This window comes from Homo sapiens, chromosome 7 (genome assembly GCF_000001405.40).
Source record: "Homo sapiens chromosome 7, GRCh38.p14 Primary Assembly".
NCBI classification, from domain to species: domain Eukaryota; kingdom Metazoa; phylum Chordata; class Mammalia; order Primates; family Hominidae; genus Homo; species Homo sapiens.
In genome coordinates this window covers 43203592-43219740 of record NC_000007.14, presented here as the reverse complement: position 1 = coordinate 43219740, position 16149 = coordinate 43203592, and the positions used below count along the sequence as shown (strand labels likewise).

The window sequence follows — 16149 nt, the reverse complement described above, 5'->3', positions numbered from 1 at the left end:
ACCCCTGACTTAATCAATTATGTTATCTATAGATTACAGACATTGTATAGAAAAGCACTGTGAAAATCCCTGTCCTGTTCTGTTCTGTTCTGTTCTGTTCTATTCTAATTATTGGTGCATGCAGCCCCCAGTCACATACCCACTGCTTGCTCAATCGATCATGACCCTCTCACACACACCCCCTTAGAGTTGTAAGCCCTTTAAAGGGACAGGAATTGCTCACTTGGAGAGCTCGGTTGTTGGAGACAGGAGTCTTGCCGAAGCTCCCAGCTGAATAAAGCCCTTCCTTCTTTAGCTCGGTATCGGAGGGGTTTTGTCTGCTGCTTGTCCTGTTACAGTAGAAATTATTAAGAAATTATTTTAGGCAGACAGAGAGGAAAAGGGGTCCTTGGAAAGTTTTCGTTTTTGAAGCGGCTCCAGAAACATTTCTTGTCCAGTAGGAAAGCCCTGGGTCTTAGAGCCTAGCTGGCAACCTTTGATATGCAAATGCAGGCCATTAGAAACTGGGTCCACCCAACATGGCGATTCCCACTGTTGTCCTCTTGCCCTTGCCCCTACATGTGCCTGGCAACATGGCCACTCCCACATATCCCCACATGTGTAGAACATCATGGCGCCCTGTATTTGCATACTAAAAGGCTAGAGTGGGAAGGCTAGTTTTTTTCGCAGGCTACATGAATGACATGGCTGGTCAAACCAATCCCCTGAGCCCTATGCAAATCAAACACCACCTCCTCCAGCCTGTTTATATACCTGGCTGGTGTTCCCCACAGGTGAGTTCCCTCTCTTGGCTCCCCGGCACTGCTCTCTCTGTCTCTGTACAGGGGAGCTTCTTCCTTCTTTCTTCTTCTTTCTTGTCTATTAAACCCTCTGCTCCTTAAAACCACTCCACGTGTGTCCGTGTCATTTTATCTAAATCACGTGAGACAAGAGCCCTCATGTTCCTCCACTCGTTGTATCACTTTCTCTATACACCTTCCAATCCTGGCTGGGGACTTGCTCCAAATTAATGAACCTCTTAAACCATGACATGCTCTTTTCCCTTGGGCTTTGTTCATCAAGAACTATCAATCCAGAAGATGAGGGTGGCTTTATCAGCCCATGAGTAAAACACCCTAGGTATAAATGTTGCCCAAAGCCAGCTTTGCTGTGCCTTCCAAGACACTGTGATCTATACTGCTGGTCACAGGCACACTGTGGCCAGGTTCATTCCCTCTGCCCTGCCATACCCCATTCCTTGCTTCCTTCCCTTCTCCACCAAAATGTGTTATCAGGACCCAATTGCTTCTAAGATAAAGATGTGCATCCAAGATGTGATATCCTAAACCACTGCTGTGTTCAGATCCATGATACGTCTTGTCCTCTTGTTTGGAAAAAAATACCCTGAGCTCTAAGAGGTTCAGATGAGCAGGTTCTCAAGGTGACCCAGTGCTGCTGCAGGAGAAAGCAGTGAGGCCTCCTGCCTCCTCTCACCTCCCCTTGGATCATATTGCTGCTCAGGAATAACAATTCAATCCGTGATCTAAATATATCTTACACTGAATGGCCCAGCATTGTGGTATTGATTTTTTAAGTTAAAAATACAAGATGAACTATCAGTTTTCACCTGCAAAATCCTGTTTCTAAAGCTTCAAAATCCTTTTTGACACAGACTTTGTTGGGCCATTTACACAGCTCTCCTCCAAAGGGGAATCTAAAACTCTTCCTAATACCTAGCTGGTGCTGTGCCCCCATTCCCTCTAGTGGACCCCACAGGCCTCCCTGGGAGGCTTTTCTTCGAGGAAATCCTGCACTCTCCAGCCCCAGAAGGATCGGGTGCTGGTGGCCAGGCTTGTGCTAGATAACACTGCTCTTGGGCCAGAGATGGACATGGCACCAAAAGGAGCTAATTAATTAGATGCTCAGTGACCAAAAATAGTTCCTTTCCTGATAATTCTAAAAGACATGAGTGGTGGGTGTTAAGTCTTTGAAGTCCTCCAAACCATACGCCAAGAGCTGTGTAAGGACATGGCCAAGAAATAGGATACAGTTCAGAAAGAGAAGAGGAGTGATGCCTAAGCCCCTCATCATTTTGCAAGTAAAGCTGTCTGTTGTATAATCTTATTACACTGATCCTTCTGTCCTCTTCCCCCTTTTACGGTCATTTGAAATTAGCTCAGGTAGGTTTCACTTCCTTGCAATCAGTGATTCTGGAGGGAGTGAGACATTCCCTGCTTTCGAGGGTACCCCAATTCATCTACAAATGAAAAGCAGCAACAGTATCTCTCATTAATTTGATATAGACATTCAACTATAATCCAACACCTACCCTAGTTACCAGAACTCATGCACTTGAAGTAGAGAGAAACATGTTTCTTATTTCTTATCTGTATTCCCAGAAAGGGACTTCATTTAGCTGGAACCCAAAGTGTATTTTATACATAGCTAACTGAGACTCAATTTTAATTTACAGTAGTGGGTTCAGGGTCAGAACTCAAGCATAAAGTGCCTATGCAGCAAAATATGAAGAGATGAGAAAGGTAAGTGAGTGTTTAAATTTATTCCAGTATTAAAAAATTTTATTAGATAAAGGGCTCGCTTTTTTCATGTACTCGGTAATAAGTTGCTGTCATTAAAATGTGTGCCTAGCCTAGGGATGGGACACAAACAGGAGAGTGTGATCAGAGAAGGAGCTATTAAAATGGTGTCCGAAAGCACTCTAATGCTGCCACTATGATCAGACTGTGAGCCACAGAACCCTTGACAGCTGGTCCCTCTGGTGCAAGGATGCTTTAAGATTACACTGCAGCTGGGAGTGGTGGCTCACGCCTGTAATCCCAGCACTTTAGGAGGCTGAGATGGGAGGATCACTTGAGGCCAGGGGTTCGAGGCCAGCCTGGGCAACATGGTGAAACCCCGTCTTTACTAAAAATACAAAAATTAGCCGAGCATGGTGGTGGGTGCCTGTAATCCCAACTACTTGGGAGGCTGAAGCAGGAGAATCACTTGAACCTGGAAGGCAGAGGTTGCAGTGAGCTGAGTTCACGTCACTGTACTCCAGCCTGGGGGAAAGAGCAAGACTCTCAGAAAAAAAAAAAAATTACACTGCATTTGCCACACTGCTAAAGGGAAGCAGGATGTGGGCTAGTGGAGACTTTTGTCCCTGGGGCTAACACGGCATCTGGGGAGCAGTACCAGGCAACATCTTCAGCTTACCATGATCCAGGAAAGAGAAAAACTCAGTGGTGCTGATGGCTAAGGTGGATGGACTGCCTTCTGCCACAGCAGAAACCTTTAAGGCATTAAAAACCTGCTTCGGCTGGCATGCGGTGGCACACACCTGTAATCCCAGCACTTTGGGAAGCTGAGGTGGGCGGATCATGAGGTCAGGAGTTTGAGATCAGCCTGGCCAATATGGTGAAAGCTCGTCTCTCCTAAAAATACAAAACTTAGCTGGGCATGGTGGTGCACACCTGTAGTCCCAGCTACTCAGGAGGCTGAGGCTGAAGAATCACTTGAACCCAGAAGGCGAAGGTTGCAGTGAGCCCAGGTTGCACCACTGCACTCCAGCCTGGGTGACAGAGCAAGACTCTGTCTCAAAAAAACAAAAACAAAAACAAACAAACAAACAAAAACCTGCTTCATCTCACCAGACTCAGCTTTCATCTTATAAAACAAAGACCATATAAAATGACAGACAGAATAGGAATTCTGTCTTCTACCTGACTCAGGGCCAGAGACTACTTCCATAAACTGTACAACATCTCTCCGTCATGGGGTCAGACAGTTTGAAGAAACTACAGTGGTCTCTGTCTGCCCCACTCCTCTGCCTGGTCTCTGAACACTGGCCCTATACGTCCTTGGAGACACAGCAGTGACCAGAACAAAGCTACAGAGAGAGGCACAGACATGGCAGAGGATGTTGACCTAACTCCTTCAGCATTTGACACATCAATTTAATAAAATATAACAGTATACAGGGACTCTGATTTAAATAATATCAGTTAAGTAGATGTCTTTCAAGATCTTTACAATCAAAGAATAGACTGTTTTCTAATATCCATGGACCATTTACCAAAAATTGATTATACAAGGGCCTCAAAGAAAACCTTGATAAATTATGAAATGCATAAAGAGTGGTGATAACATTTTCTGACTGCAAAGCAACTAGGATAGATATTGTATTAATAATACAACTTTGAAGTTTAAAAATACCTTAACCATTTGTTAACGATTTAACCTTTGGTTAAAAAGGAATTTTAAATTGCAATTACATACTGCTCAGAAATGAAAGACAATGAGAATGCCACAAAAGGAATACAAATAAAATTATGTGCAACAGTGGAATCCATAGCATTACGTAGGATTGCCGTCTAGCCAGCACTGGCTGGGTCAGCCATGCTGAACCATGTTAGGACAGGGCAACGCTTCTGTGAGGATTGGAAAACAGCACTGCTTTCAGCCTCTCTGGGGACAACCGACCCTTGCAAGGTGCAGCAGCTAAAGGGTTAATGCGGGCACAGCAAGGGCTCTCCAGGAGTCCCAAGGGCAGTGTGCATTCTGACTAGGCGGTGCCTATACAGTCACTGGTAATTAAATATTGTATAGTTTAGCTGCTATTGTTAGTAAACAAGAAGAATGTAAATCAAGAACCTGAAAATTCAATCCTTACATTTTTTAAAATCAGGATAAAAAGAACAAAGCAAACCCAAGGAGAGCAGGAAGAGTAAGTGAATAAATACCCAAAAGGGGTAGGCTACCTTGCACCTGCCTCTTCTGTCCCACTTTGCTCTTCCTGGCCAGGGTCCTGGGACGCTGACTGGGAGGAGGCATTCATGGGCCCCCTCACCCGCTGCCTCCCAGCTGGGTTCAGCCAATGTGGAACACACAGAAGACTGGAGGGAGGGAGAAGTGCAAGGTCAGAACATGCCCCCACATGGTTCCCTCACTGTGGGCTGTGAGCTGGCCCCTCTCTGGGGGTTCCTCCTCCTTCTGGGCTAGTGCCCGTGCCCACCTGCATCTGCTCATGCCTGCCCAGCCACCCTGCCGTCTCCTGTGCTCTGCCCATGCCTTGGTCAACAGTCCTTTTATGAAATGCTCCTTAAATTAGGCACCTTGAGTTTGCCATAATTTCCTGATTGGATCCTGACTGACATAGTAACGATCACCACCACCACCACCACAGAACAATAAAAACCAAACAAAACAGGGGCAGGGGAAAGTAGCGTTGCCATCTAAATTAAACAGCTATTTTTTGATAAGGATATATAGATGCATATACACAGACACACACATGAAACTCTAGTTTGTCTAGTTTTTTGTACCTATTACTCAGAAAAGTTATTTGAATATATATTTGAATGTATTATTTCCTAAGTTATTTATTATGATATTTATATTACTCTAGTTCTTTAGATGGCATTCTTTTATTCTTTAAAAGCTGTTTTCCCTATCAAGGACAGTTACAATCTCCTTTCACATTTCTAATATTGTTTATTTGCTTTATTTTCTCTAATTTTACATGTATGTACATCCATGTATAAAAACAAAAAAATGTATTTGAAAAAATGAAAAATAACTATAAAAATTAGAGAGAAATATATATGAAAAACTAGAAAAACTATAGAAATACATATGTGTATTTCAATTAGAAAAGAAAAACTAGAGGGAAAAAGCAAGTAAACAATACCAGTAATATAGAAGATTACAATCACCACCAGTAGGGAAAACAGCTTTTAAAGAATTAAAATAAAGGTCTCTAAAGGTCTTATATAATAAATTCCAAAATCCTGATGAAATGTTTAATTTCCTGAAAAAATACATACTGATTTGATCACATAGAAACTTTATACCTTTTGTTTTTCTCATTGCAATCATATTCCCATTCTAAGTCCCCAACAAAATTTCTTCCTAATGCTATAGCTATTTATGATGTAAAGTCTTTTATTAATTATATCATTCTTTTCTGTGATAAAAATATGTATAAAGATTTAAATTTAATTTTTAAAAAAATTATTGGCTGGGCGCAGTGGCTCACGCCTGTAATCCCAGCACTTTTGGAGGCTGAGGCGGGTGGATCACGAGGTCAGGAGATCGAGACCATCCTGGCTAACACGGTGAAACCCCACCTCTACTAAAAATACAAAAAATTAGCTGGGCATGGTGGCGGGCGCCTGTAGTCCCAGCTACTCAGGAGGCTGAGGCAGGAGAATGGTGTGAACCCGGAAGGTGGAGCTTGCAGTGAGCCGAGATCACGCCACTACACTCCAGCCTGGGCGACAGAGCGAGACTCCGTCTCAAAAAAAAAAAAAAAAAAAAAAAATTCTTATGATCACCAGCTCTAAGTGTTAAACCATTTCTTCCAGGTTGAGTAATCAATTAGTATTGTTAGAGTTATCATCAGTAGTATACAGATGATCCAAACAAAATAAGCACATGTCATTTATGATAAAGTCTCTTATCATGAAATCATCTTTAATGATTTACAAGTCAATAACTCAATCAAGTCAGTCCTGCTTCAGTTTGATGAACGTAAAAAACTTGAAAACACCTCACTTGGGGCAAGATTTGTTACCCAGTCCCAGAGTCATGCACTTTCTGGGAAGTATATAAAAAAGACTTATCATGCCTTATCAGGTGATGGAGAATTACACCTGCTATTCTTTCACCGAGAAATACATAGATTAACTCATGAAAAGGCAAGAAAATTGACATATTACTAATTTCATTACGCTTTTACTGATATAATATTGTAATAATATGATTTAATCTTAGCTCATGCTTTAAATATACTTCTGTCATAATCTTAGAGCTACAGATTTAGTTGTTCTATTTGTGGAAAATATCTACCATATAATATAAATGGCAAAGCCAGTCCTCTTTGTCAAACCAACTAGCCAAATAAGATCTTTTTCAGAAAAATGTCTGACTTCATTTTAAAATCCAGATAAATGTGTTAATGTACATTTTAAAGAATATTAGAAATATGACTGGAAATAAAGTAAAAGATGCAATTTGTAAGTTAGAGTACTTAGACATTCCAGTAAGATTAAAATAATGAAGATCTAATATATTTATCCATTTTAAAGTAAGTTCTATAAACAAGATAATAAATCATTCTCATTACTTAATTTGCTATAGTGCAATGTAATTTGCAGCTAAAATTACCAGTTACTTAAGAAGAGTGCAGCGTAATAGCCTTGGCCTCCCTTCTGTAATTGTGTGCATATGATTTGGTTTTGAGGAACAGTTAAATGAGTCTCATGTATAAATACCAGAAATAACTCCAATAGTCTTGTTAAACATAATTATAACATAATTTATATATTTTAAAAAGTGAAAAGAATATTTTGCTAAAAATTATCAGTCTAGCAGCTAGTATATAATTTTGTTTAGTAATAATAGCAGGAAAAAATTATTGAATGTTTTATAAGATGGCAAATGACTGTAAATAAAGAGTGTATGATCTGATTTGATAAACCAGATTTTGACTACCTTAATTAATAACACAACCCTAATCTGAGAGAGATTGGGTAAAAGTTTTATTCATGCATTTCATTTAATAGCCTTGAAAATGTTGATAGTTCAGGAAACATCACAACTGTGTTTACAAGAATCAATAGCAAAAATCTCTTTGAAGAGACTGCTCTCTTAGCTGAGGGATGAGTGCTGAGGACAGGTGTAAAGAAATGCTTACATTGAAATATGGGTAGGGGTTGTTTCCAATATTCAGTCTTTCTTACAGTGCTCTCTTTGCCTTGTTCTCCTGTAAGTCTCCCTTAAGAACTCCTTGCATAGTAGACAGGGAGAGGTAAAGTCATTAAAATGAAACTTGTCATTACTCCACATACCATACATCTGAAGAATTCCAAACATCACAAACATGCAGGACAAAGCATCCCCTTCTAACACCACCCTTTATTCTTAACTGAGGTGTACAAGGCAGAAACAGAAGGGAAGCTCAAAGGGTTTATGATGTCTTGATTTATTATTTTGAGAAAGGTTTTCCCTTTGTTCAATATCCTCAAAGTTTTATGCTCTGTGGGTAATGCACAGGCAAAATTTGAGGGAGGCAAGGGGGAACGCCCCCCTTTTGTGAAGGGTTATTATGAACACAGGTTTATTCTAGCAGGTCAATTTTAGAAAAGAATAGATAGAAGTTGAGGTTTTGAGGACAGGATTCCATAGAATCTCCATGCTTGAGTCCCCCTTGGAAAGTCTTTCACCCCTGGGAATCATGCCCTCTGGTGGGAGGACACTGTCCCATGAGACTGTGAGTTCCCTGAGGACAGAGATGATCAATCCTAACTCTCCCTGCATCCCTAGCGTCCACAGGGTGCCCGCATGGAGCATTCACACTTGGATACTTACAGAACCGTTTCATTCATTCACGGAGGAGAAAGGTGATGTGTCAGATGGAACTTAAACAATGGGAACTGCCTGAATAAGCCAAAAGCAGTTTTATTTACATAAAATGGTAAAGGTTGGATTTTTCATCCTGATATTTAGCCTACCTGCCTCCATACTGAGAGACAGGACTAGCTGGATTTCCTAAACCGACTAAGAATCCCTAAACCTAGCTGGGAAGGTGACCGCATCCACCTCTAAACACAGGGCTTGCAACTTAGCTCACACCCGACTAATGAGAGAGCTCACTAAAATGCTAATTAGGCAAAAATAGGAGGTAAAGAAATAGCCAATCATCTATCGCCTGAGAGCACTGCAGGAGGGACAATACAATGACCGGGATACAAACCCAGGCATTCCAGCCGGCATCGGCTACCCTCTTTGGGTCCCCTCCTTTTGTATGGGAGCTCTGTTTTCACTCTATTAAATCTTGCAAGTGCACACTCTTCTGGTCCGTGTTTGTCACGGCTGGACCTGAGCTTTCGCTCGCCGTCCACCATTGATATTTACCGCCATTGCAGACCCACTACTGACTTCCACCCCTCTGGATCTGGCAGGGTGTCTGCTGTGCTCCTGATCCAGTGAGGCGCCCATTGCTGCTCTGGATTGGGCTAAAGGCTTGCCATTGTTCCTGCTTGGCTAAGTGCCCGGGTTTGTCCTAATTGAGCTGAACACTAGTCACTGGGTTCCATGGTTCTCTTCCGTGACCCAAGGCTTCTAATAGAGCTATAACACTCACTGCATGGCCCCAGATTCCATTCCTTGGAATCCATGAGGCCAAGAACCCCAGGTTAGCGAACACGAGGCTTGCAGCCATCTTGGAAGTGGCCCAACACCATCTTGGGAGCTCTGGGAGCAAGGACGCCCTGTAACAATACCACACACACACACACACACACACACACTCACTTCTACTTGATCCTTCTTGAGTCTTCTATCAGTGGCCCAGGCATGCAAAAATCCTGTCTCAGGATGACCTGAGCCCCTCTTAATGATGTTCTACCAGAGCCACCCAGGGCCTCATACTCTGCAAGTTTTCCTATTCTCACCTCATCACAATGCACCTTTTCAATGACCTATCTCCACAATAAGTTCGTTTTGGGCAGTGACAACAGACACATCAACTTCTATGAAACCCCTCCAGTTAAGAGAGTCCTTGGTCAGCAAGGTCTCCCCATCCAGGCAGTGGGACAAGCTGCAGGGATCCTTCTGTGGGAAGGAAGGCCCTGCACTCACACCCCACATACGGCTGGGTCCGCTCAGGCCAGGAAACTGCCAGTCCCCGGCTGTTGACTTAAAACCATCAAGAGCAGTAGATTTTAAGTTTCTCTCAACTCTGTCCCACCTTCGCTTTGGAGAAGAGCCCAAAGTTCAGAGTGGTGGCTGTGTTCCTTTGGTTAAAGTTCCACTCTGACATATTGAGTACCTCACCTTAAGTAGAGATGCTGTGGGACTGGGCACGGCAGATGACCTCGGGGTGAACGCCAATGCCCGGCCCATCTTGTGATTTGCTCTATTAATGCTCCCTTCACTCTTCTGGAATGCCCGCCTCTCATTTTGCTTCAGCTCCTTCCTGCCAGCATTCAGATATGTCCACTCTTCTCCACATTCTTCTCACTCAAATAACCAATTTTCTTTTCTCCTTCCCAGCACTTGTGGAAAGACATTGATACTCCAGGCTTCGCATCTGTACGTCTCCATCAAATCTTACCCAGTTGTAGCCTGGCTGCAAAATCACTCTCCAACTGAAACTTTTTTCACAGAGGAAAAAAATGGGCAAGGAGGCTCTTTCTTGCAAATTCTAATCTCTTTGAGACAGGAGAGAGAGAGAAGCTCTCTTGTAAATTTGACAGTGCTTTACAGAGGAGACAGGAGCCGCGAGATACCCCTGAGAAATAAAATAATAGTCATTGGCCTGAAAAAGGCAGAGAACCGGATCCAGAGTGAGAGGCTCAGGAAGCAGAGTGATGCCTGGTGCCTGCAGAGTGTCACACACCCGCAGGCCCTGGCTGAGGACACTTGCCTGCGAGGCATCATCAGCTCTGGCTCTGATCAGCAGGAGCAACAGGGGACAGGGGAGCATGGGTCTTCAGGGGGCCAGCGTGCCGTATGTGGTCTTGCCTGGAAACCATTTACCACGATGGCGATCATGGGCAAGATTGTGAGGGGCTAGTGGGTCTGATGCCACTGTTAACGCTGGCTTCATAAAACAATTTGGGGCCTCACACCACAGGGCAAGCTGAGCTGGCATGAAAGGCTGCCCGCCTCCCACTCCTAACCCTGCCCTACCTGCCTCAAATACATAAAAATGCTAAATAAGAGGTAATGTTTTGTGCATATAGCCAAGTTCAATATCAAAAGAGGTGCCAGGAATGAAGCAAAATCTTCTAAAAGCCAGGGTGACTTGGCTAAAATGGAAGCCAGAGGCAGGCACAGGTATTTCAGAGCCAGATCCGGGCCTCAGCCTCCAAGAGTGTGTGGCTTCTGATGCTCTTGCAGGGAGATGAATCCAGACCTCCGGTTCCATGCTGGAAGCCAGACACCTTGGAGGGCTGGCTTGTTGCTTCGGTGGAAAGAAACAGCACTGACCACCAGCCCTGGGAAACGGTGGCTCCAAAGAGGTTAAGAGGGATCAGAATTGCCTAAGAGGAGCATGTCCTAGACCTAAACCACCAATGAGAATGAAGCCAGAACTCACACTGTGTGGGTAGTAAAAAGACACACATTTGCTTCCCCAGCTGAAAGCTGACACAAAAAATTACCCTAAACTGCTGAATCCTACAAGGCCCAGAAGAGATGAATGTGAGCTCTCCCCTGGAGATACTGCCAGGCCCAGACCCTGGGGACTCTCAGTGATAGAAAACTACCAGGAGAGGCAGCAGGTGAAAGACCGGGAGACTTTAACCCCAATAACTCAGGATAATAAAACAGCTGAAGAGAACACTTAAAATAAGAATGTCACCTTTCATTGTTTCGAGGTAAAGGAAGATGTGGGAGTCATAAGACAGTAACAGGACCCTGTGGGAAAAGACCAAGTTGATTTGCAAAAGAAGCAAAGGAATTCTACAATGAAATGTCTAGCCATTGAAATAGAGAAATCAATAGAAGGTTGAAAGAGCAGACTTCAGAGAATTAGTCTATTGGAAAAAAGATTTGAGAAAATCACTCAGATGTCACATGAAGAGGTAAAGATCTGGAAAATATGAGGGTTTCAATAATAGGGAAGAGAAATGAAAATGTCCATTATCTGTTAACAGGAGCTCCAGAAACAGAAAAAGAAAATGGGAGAGGAGCGATGTTTGAAGGGATGATGGTGAAGTTTCCAGATATAAAGAAAAATGGAATTTCTAATTGAGGTAACATCACAACTCCTAATCAGAATGAATTAAATAAATCTACACAAAGGTACAGCTTAACAAATCTGCAGACCATAAAAAGACAACTACTTTAATTACCAAGAGAAGAAAGATTATCTCAAAAGTAATGGCAGTGTTCATTTCTGCAACACACCTGCCAGAATTGGAACAGTAAGAGAAGATAAGCATGGCTCCTGCACGAGATGACAAGCCAAACTGTGAAGCATTCCATGTTTTTTAAAGTACAATAAGCCAGGAATAGAAAGTTAGGCACCATATGTTCTCATTCATACCTGGAAACTAAAAATGTTGATCTCATAGAGGTTAAAAGTAGAGCAGAGGATACTAGAAGCTGACAAGGGAACGGGGAGGGAAGGATAGGGAGAGGTATGTTGAAAGACATAAAATTTCAGCTAGACAAGAGGGATCAGTTCTAGGTTCTATAGCATGGTAAGATGACTACAATTAACAGTAATATATTATATAGTTTCAAATAGCTATTAAATAGAAGGAGGGTATTGAATATTTCCAAGACAAAGAAATGATGAATGTTTGAGATGGCAAATATGCTAATTACCTTGATTGCATCACTATCCATCACTTTGTACACCACGAATGTACAATATTATTTGTCAATTTAAAAATAGAATTTTAGGCGGCGTGCGGTGGCTCACATCTGTAATCCCAGCACTTTGGTGGCTGAGGTGGGCAGAGCACTTGAGGTCAAGAATTCGAGACCAGCCTGGCCAACATGGTGAAACCCCGTCTTTACTAAAAATACAAAAATTAGCCAGGCATGGTGGCATGCACCTGTAATCCCAGCTAGTCTGTAGGCTGAGGCAGGATAATTGCTTGAACCCAGGAGACGGAGGTTGCAGTGAGCTGAGATCGCACCACTGGACTCCAGCCTGGGCGACAGAGCAAGACTCTGCCTCAAAAATAAAAAAATAAAAATTTAAAAGGTAATGGCAATTAGGCAAAAGCACCTTCTTACAAAGCAGCAAAGGACTTCGGAAGATAATGCAATAATATATTCAAAATGCCAAGTGAAAATACAACGGCTATCCTAGAATTATATATTTAGCAAGTCTGTCAATCAATAATAAAGGTTAACTCAGCTATAACAAAGACCGAGAGAGTTTTTCATTCTAAATAGCTTAAAGATTATTTCAGCACAAAGAATACTGAATCTAGAAGTGAACTGGATTTAAGAAACCATCTGAAGAGATGAAACTGGCAAACATTTTGATTCACTTAAATATGAACCGAGTGTAAAAATAATGATAAATGACCAGACTTGGAAGTTTACAAAAAGAAGGAAATAAAAGCAGCACCCAGCACCCAGTATGGGAGGTGGGGGAGGGAAGCTGGGCATTGTAAGGCTTTTGTGGTGTTAGAGTACAATACAGAGATTAATGAGCTTCAGTGTTCATAAAGTTAATTACGCCTCTTAAAAAATGAAAGTTAACCACTAAAGAATTGAAGTAGAACACATTACTTCCAAGCTAGTGGGGGACTGAGGGGAGGAAAGAAAGCTATAAAACAAAATATGTTTGATCCAATAGAGAGCAGAAGAGACAAAAAATAAAAGACCAGAAAAAAGCACGGTAGACCTTTTTGGCCAACCCTTACCTTCGCATTCCATTTCCCTCTCCTCTCCCCTGTCTTCCTAACCCCTTGATTTACAGAAATGACAGAGCCTCCCGGAAGATCCTCTTGACTCCGTGGCAGATCAGCTGCCGCGTTCCTGGTGTCTGTTCCCAGGGCTCCCAGAACTCCACCATCAGAACCCTTAAAATGCTCCCTTGTGAGTGCACATGGTAGGAGCTCATCTAAAAGTATTAGTTCATGTGTTTCCTCTGTACATTAATTTGCTCTCCGGTTCCAAAAGATGGGTTTTCTCCCCTAGTCCAATGTAAAGAGGAGAAAGAAAGAGCCACAGCCTATAGCGCCAGACAATGTATACTTATGGAGAATTTCAGTGTCCAGGGGAGGAAGTGGCAGGGGAGAGAGGGTGTCCTGGATGGGGAGGGGTAACAAAGACCTTCTCCTTGGAGGGCTAAAGGACAGGCTGGAAGGAAGATGGGGCCCAGCTGTGCTCAGTGTAGGGGGCCCCCAGCCGCCTGCACTGTGGACCACAAATCATCCAACAGCCCTGGGCACTTATAACTCTCCCATCATCTTGCCCTGAAATGAGAGTAAGGGACCTGAAGATCTTGGGTAGGGGTAGGACAGAAGGGACCTTGTCCACTGACCATGATGAAACTGAGGAGAACCTATTAGAAATTTTTTGAACAGCTGAAGCAGCTGTGGTCACGAGACCACTGCACATGGCCAGGCATGCTGTGGAGTGTACAACCTGCGCGACATTCTTACTGCAGACACAATGAGCCTTGTTTTAACTGCCAATGTTGGGACAAAGACTCTCCTTGACCAGACTCTATTCAGAGTTCTCAAGCAGGCCTTGACCTTGGCCTAGAAGAACTACGACTTGCAGCACAAGTGATTTCATCCACCCCACTACAGGAAAAGTCTTGAATAAACACTAGCATAGTTCCCATCAGTTCCAGGCTGTGTTCCTAGGATGACAATTCCAGCCCCCTTAAAATGCCTGCCTGAGAAAACTCAATGCTGCCGAAAGAATTTATTGTTTGTTTGGGAGGCCAAGGCGGGCCGATCATGACGTCAGGAGTTTGAGACCAGCCTGGCCAACATAGTGAAACACCACCTCTACTAAAAATACAAACAGTTAGCTGGGCATGGTGGTGGGTGCCTGTAATTCCAGCTACTTGGGAGGCTGAGGCAAGAGAATCTCTTGAACCCAAGAGGTGAAGGTTGCAGTGAGCCAAGATCGCACCACTGCACTCCAGCCCGGGCAATAGTGCGAGACTCCATTTCCAAAAAAAAAAAATTACTGTTTGTTTCAGACAACATCTGATGATAGGCCTCTGAGCTCACTTTCTTAGGGCATTTACTTTAGAAAGCTTGCAATTATATATTCTTTCTGTGCCCGTTTGAGATAGAAACCTTCTACCACCCAGAAATGTCCCATCAAGTATGTGGGAGCCATCTCTTTGAAATGCAAACATTCAGTGAGATAGCTCTCTTGTCTCCCAGTTCCTGTGGGATGGTAAGATCCAAACTTTGCGGGGCCTTAATCCAGTTGGCAAAACTATGTCCTGTCCTAAAGATAGGAGACTTTTGTTTCTCCTCCAGGTAAGTGTCAATTAACAAACTCAGATGGCCTAAACCCAGAGACCACCCCCTTACCTTCCTTTAGTCCCTTTCCTTTAGCACATACCACCTTTGTCTCAGGGGAGCTGAGCTGAGGTTTCACTGAGGTCTCTTCCTTACTGCAGTAGTACTGACTAGAATCCGTCTTGTCTCCTTAACTAGTGTTCAGCTTTGTGTTTCTTTGACAATTCCAAGCTGGGCCAAAAGTTCCATGAGGGCATGGCCATGCCTGTCTTGTATAATTGGCCACCACCAGAGTCAAGGTGTTCAGTAGATATTTACATAATGAATAAATGAACATAAGATTTTTTTTCACTTGATTTGCACTCTGATAGTGAGTTGCATCCTTTAACTGCCATCTTGCAAAAAATACAGTGCTGGACAAACGAATGCACCAAGAAAATGACTTAGGGTTTCTTGAACAAAATCTACTGCCAACTAATCATGGAGTGATTTCACTGCCATGGGTTTATTTTGTTTATTCAACAAACTTTACATGAGTCATGCAAAATGGTCTTCAGTTTCAAGCTTTCTTTTGAAATTTCCTCAGGATAAGAATGAACTAACACAATGATGGAGCAACAAAATTAGCTGCTTTGACATCTACTGTTGAAGAAGGCAAAAATATTTATTTATTATGGTGCCAAGGTATAAGAGTTCTAACCATAATCTGCCAAGAACCTCAAGAATTATTGATGTCTTGAACTAGTCACAATCAGCATTCTTGCTAAGCAACAATTCATTTGTTATTACAAGTTCAAAATAAATTCTTTAGGTAAGACAAAAAGAGTCCATTTATAATTCAATTTGTGCTTTTTTCAGCAATATACATCTAAACATAGTGAATACAAGATATTACATAATAGCAAGAATTGTCAGCTATTAAATACATACAATTTAAGAAAGTGGGGTATACAACTGCAAAAGGATTGTAACATTAAAATACAATAATCCTTTTGATATGTTACTGATGACAATACACAATTACCCATTAAAAAGTGATGTGGCTTGGCTGGGAGCGGTGGCTACCACCAGTGACCAGCATTTTGGGAGGCTGAGGTGGGTGGATCATTTGAGGTCAGGAGTTCAAGACCACCCTGGCCAATATGGCGAAACCCTGTCTCTACTAAAAATACAAAAATTAGCCGGGTATGGTGGCAGGTGCCTATAATCT

At 42.7% G+C, this 16149-nt stretch overlaps 1 protein-coding gene and 1 pseudogene across 15 annotated transcripts in view, besides 2 other annotated features; one reads left to right on the top strand and one right to left on the bottom strand.

Moving 5' to 3' along the window:
* The window catches only part of HECW1 (HECT, C2 and WW domain containing E3 ubiquitin protein ligase 1), a 453355-nt gene that overhangs the window by 346261 nt on the left and 90945 nt on the right, over positions 1-16149 (bottom strand). For 3 of the 15 annotated variants that reach the window (XM_011515220.3, XM_047420065.1, XM_011515223.3), the window contains exon 1: positions 4740-4884. The exons of 11 other annotated variants lie outside the window; for them this stretch is intronic. The gene's annotated coding sequence lies outside the window, so the exon portion shown is untranslated. Of the gene's footprint in view, positions 1-4739; positions 4885-16149 lie in introns of those variants that run through there. One more of the 15 variants, XM_047420066.1, reaches the window with a different exon arrangement.
* Positions 4406-4922: an enhancer, noted in NCBI's record as "H3K27ac-H3K4me1 hESC enhancer chr7:43254418-43254934 (GRCh37/hg19 assembly coordinates)". NCBI's record gives its function as "activates a minimal SCP1, AML or CMV promoter by ChIP-STARR-seq in primed H9 embryonic stem cells {active_cell/tissue: H9 hESC(primed)}" and the evidence as "EXISTENCE:reporter gene assay evidence [ECO:0000049][PMID:30033119]".
* Positions 4923-5440: an enhancer, noted in NCBI's record as "H3K27ac-H3K4me1 hESC enhancer chr7:43253900-43254417 (GRCh37/hg19 assembly coordinates)". NCBI's record gives its function as "activates a minimal SCP1, AML or CMV promoter by ChIP-STARR-seq in primed H9 embryonic stem cells {active_cell/tissue: H9 hESC(primed)}" and the evidence as "EXISTENCE:reporter gene assay evidence [ECO:0000049][PMID:30033119]".
* RNU6-575P (RNA, U6 small nuclear 575, pseudogene) lies at positions 11875-11979 on the top strand (annotated as a pseudogene).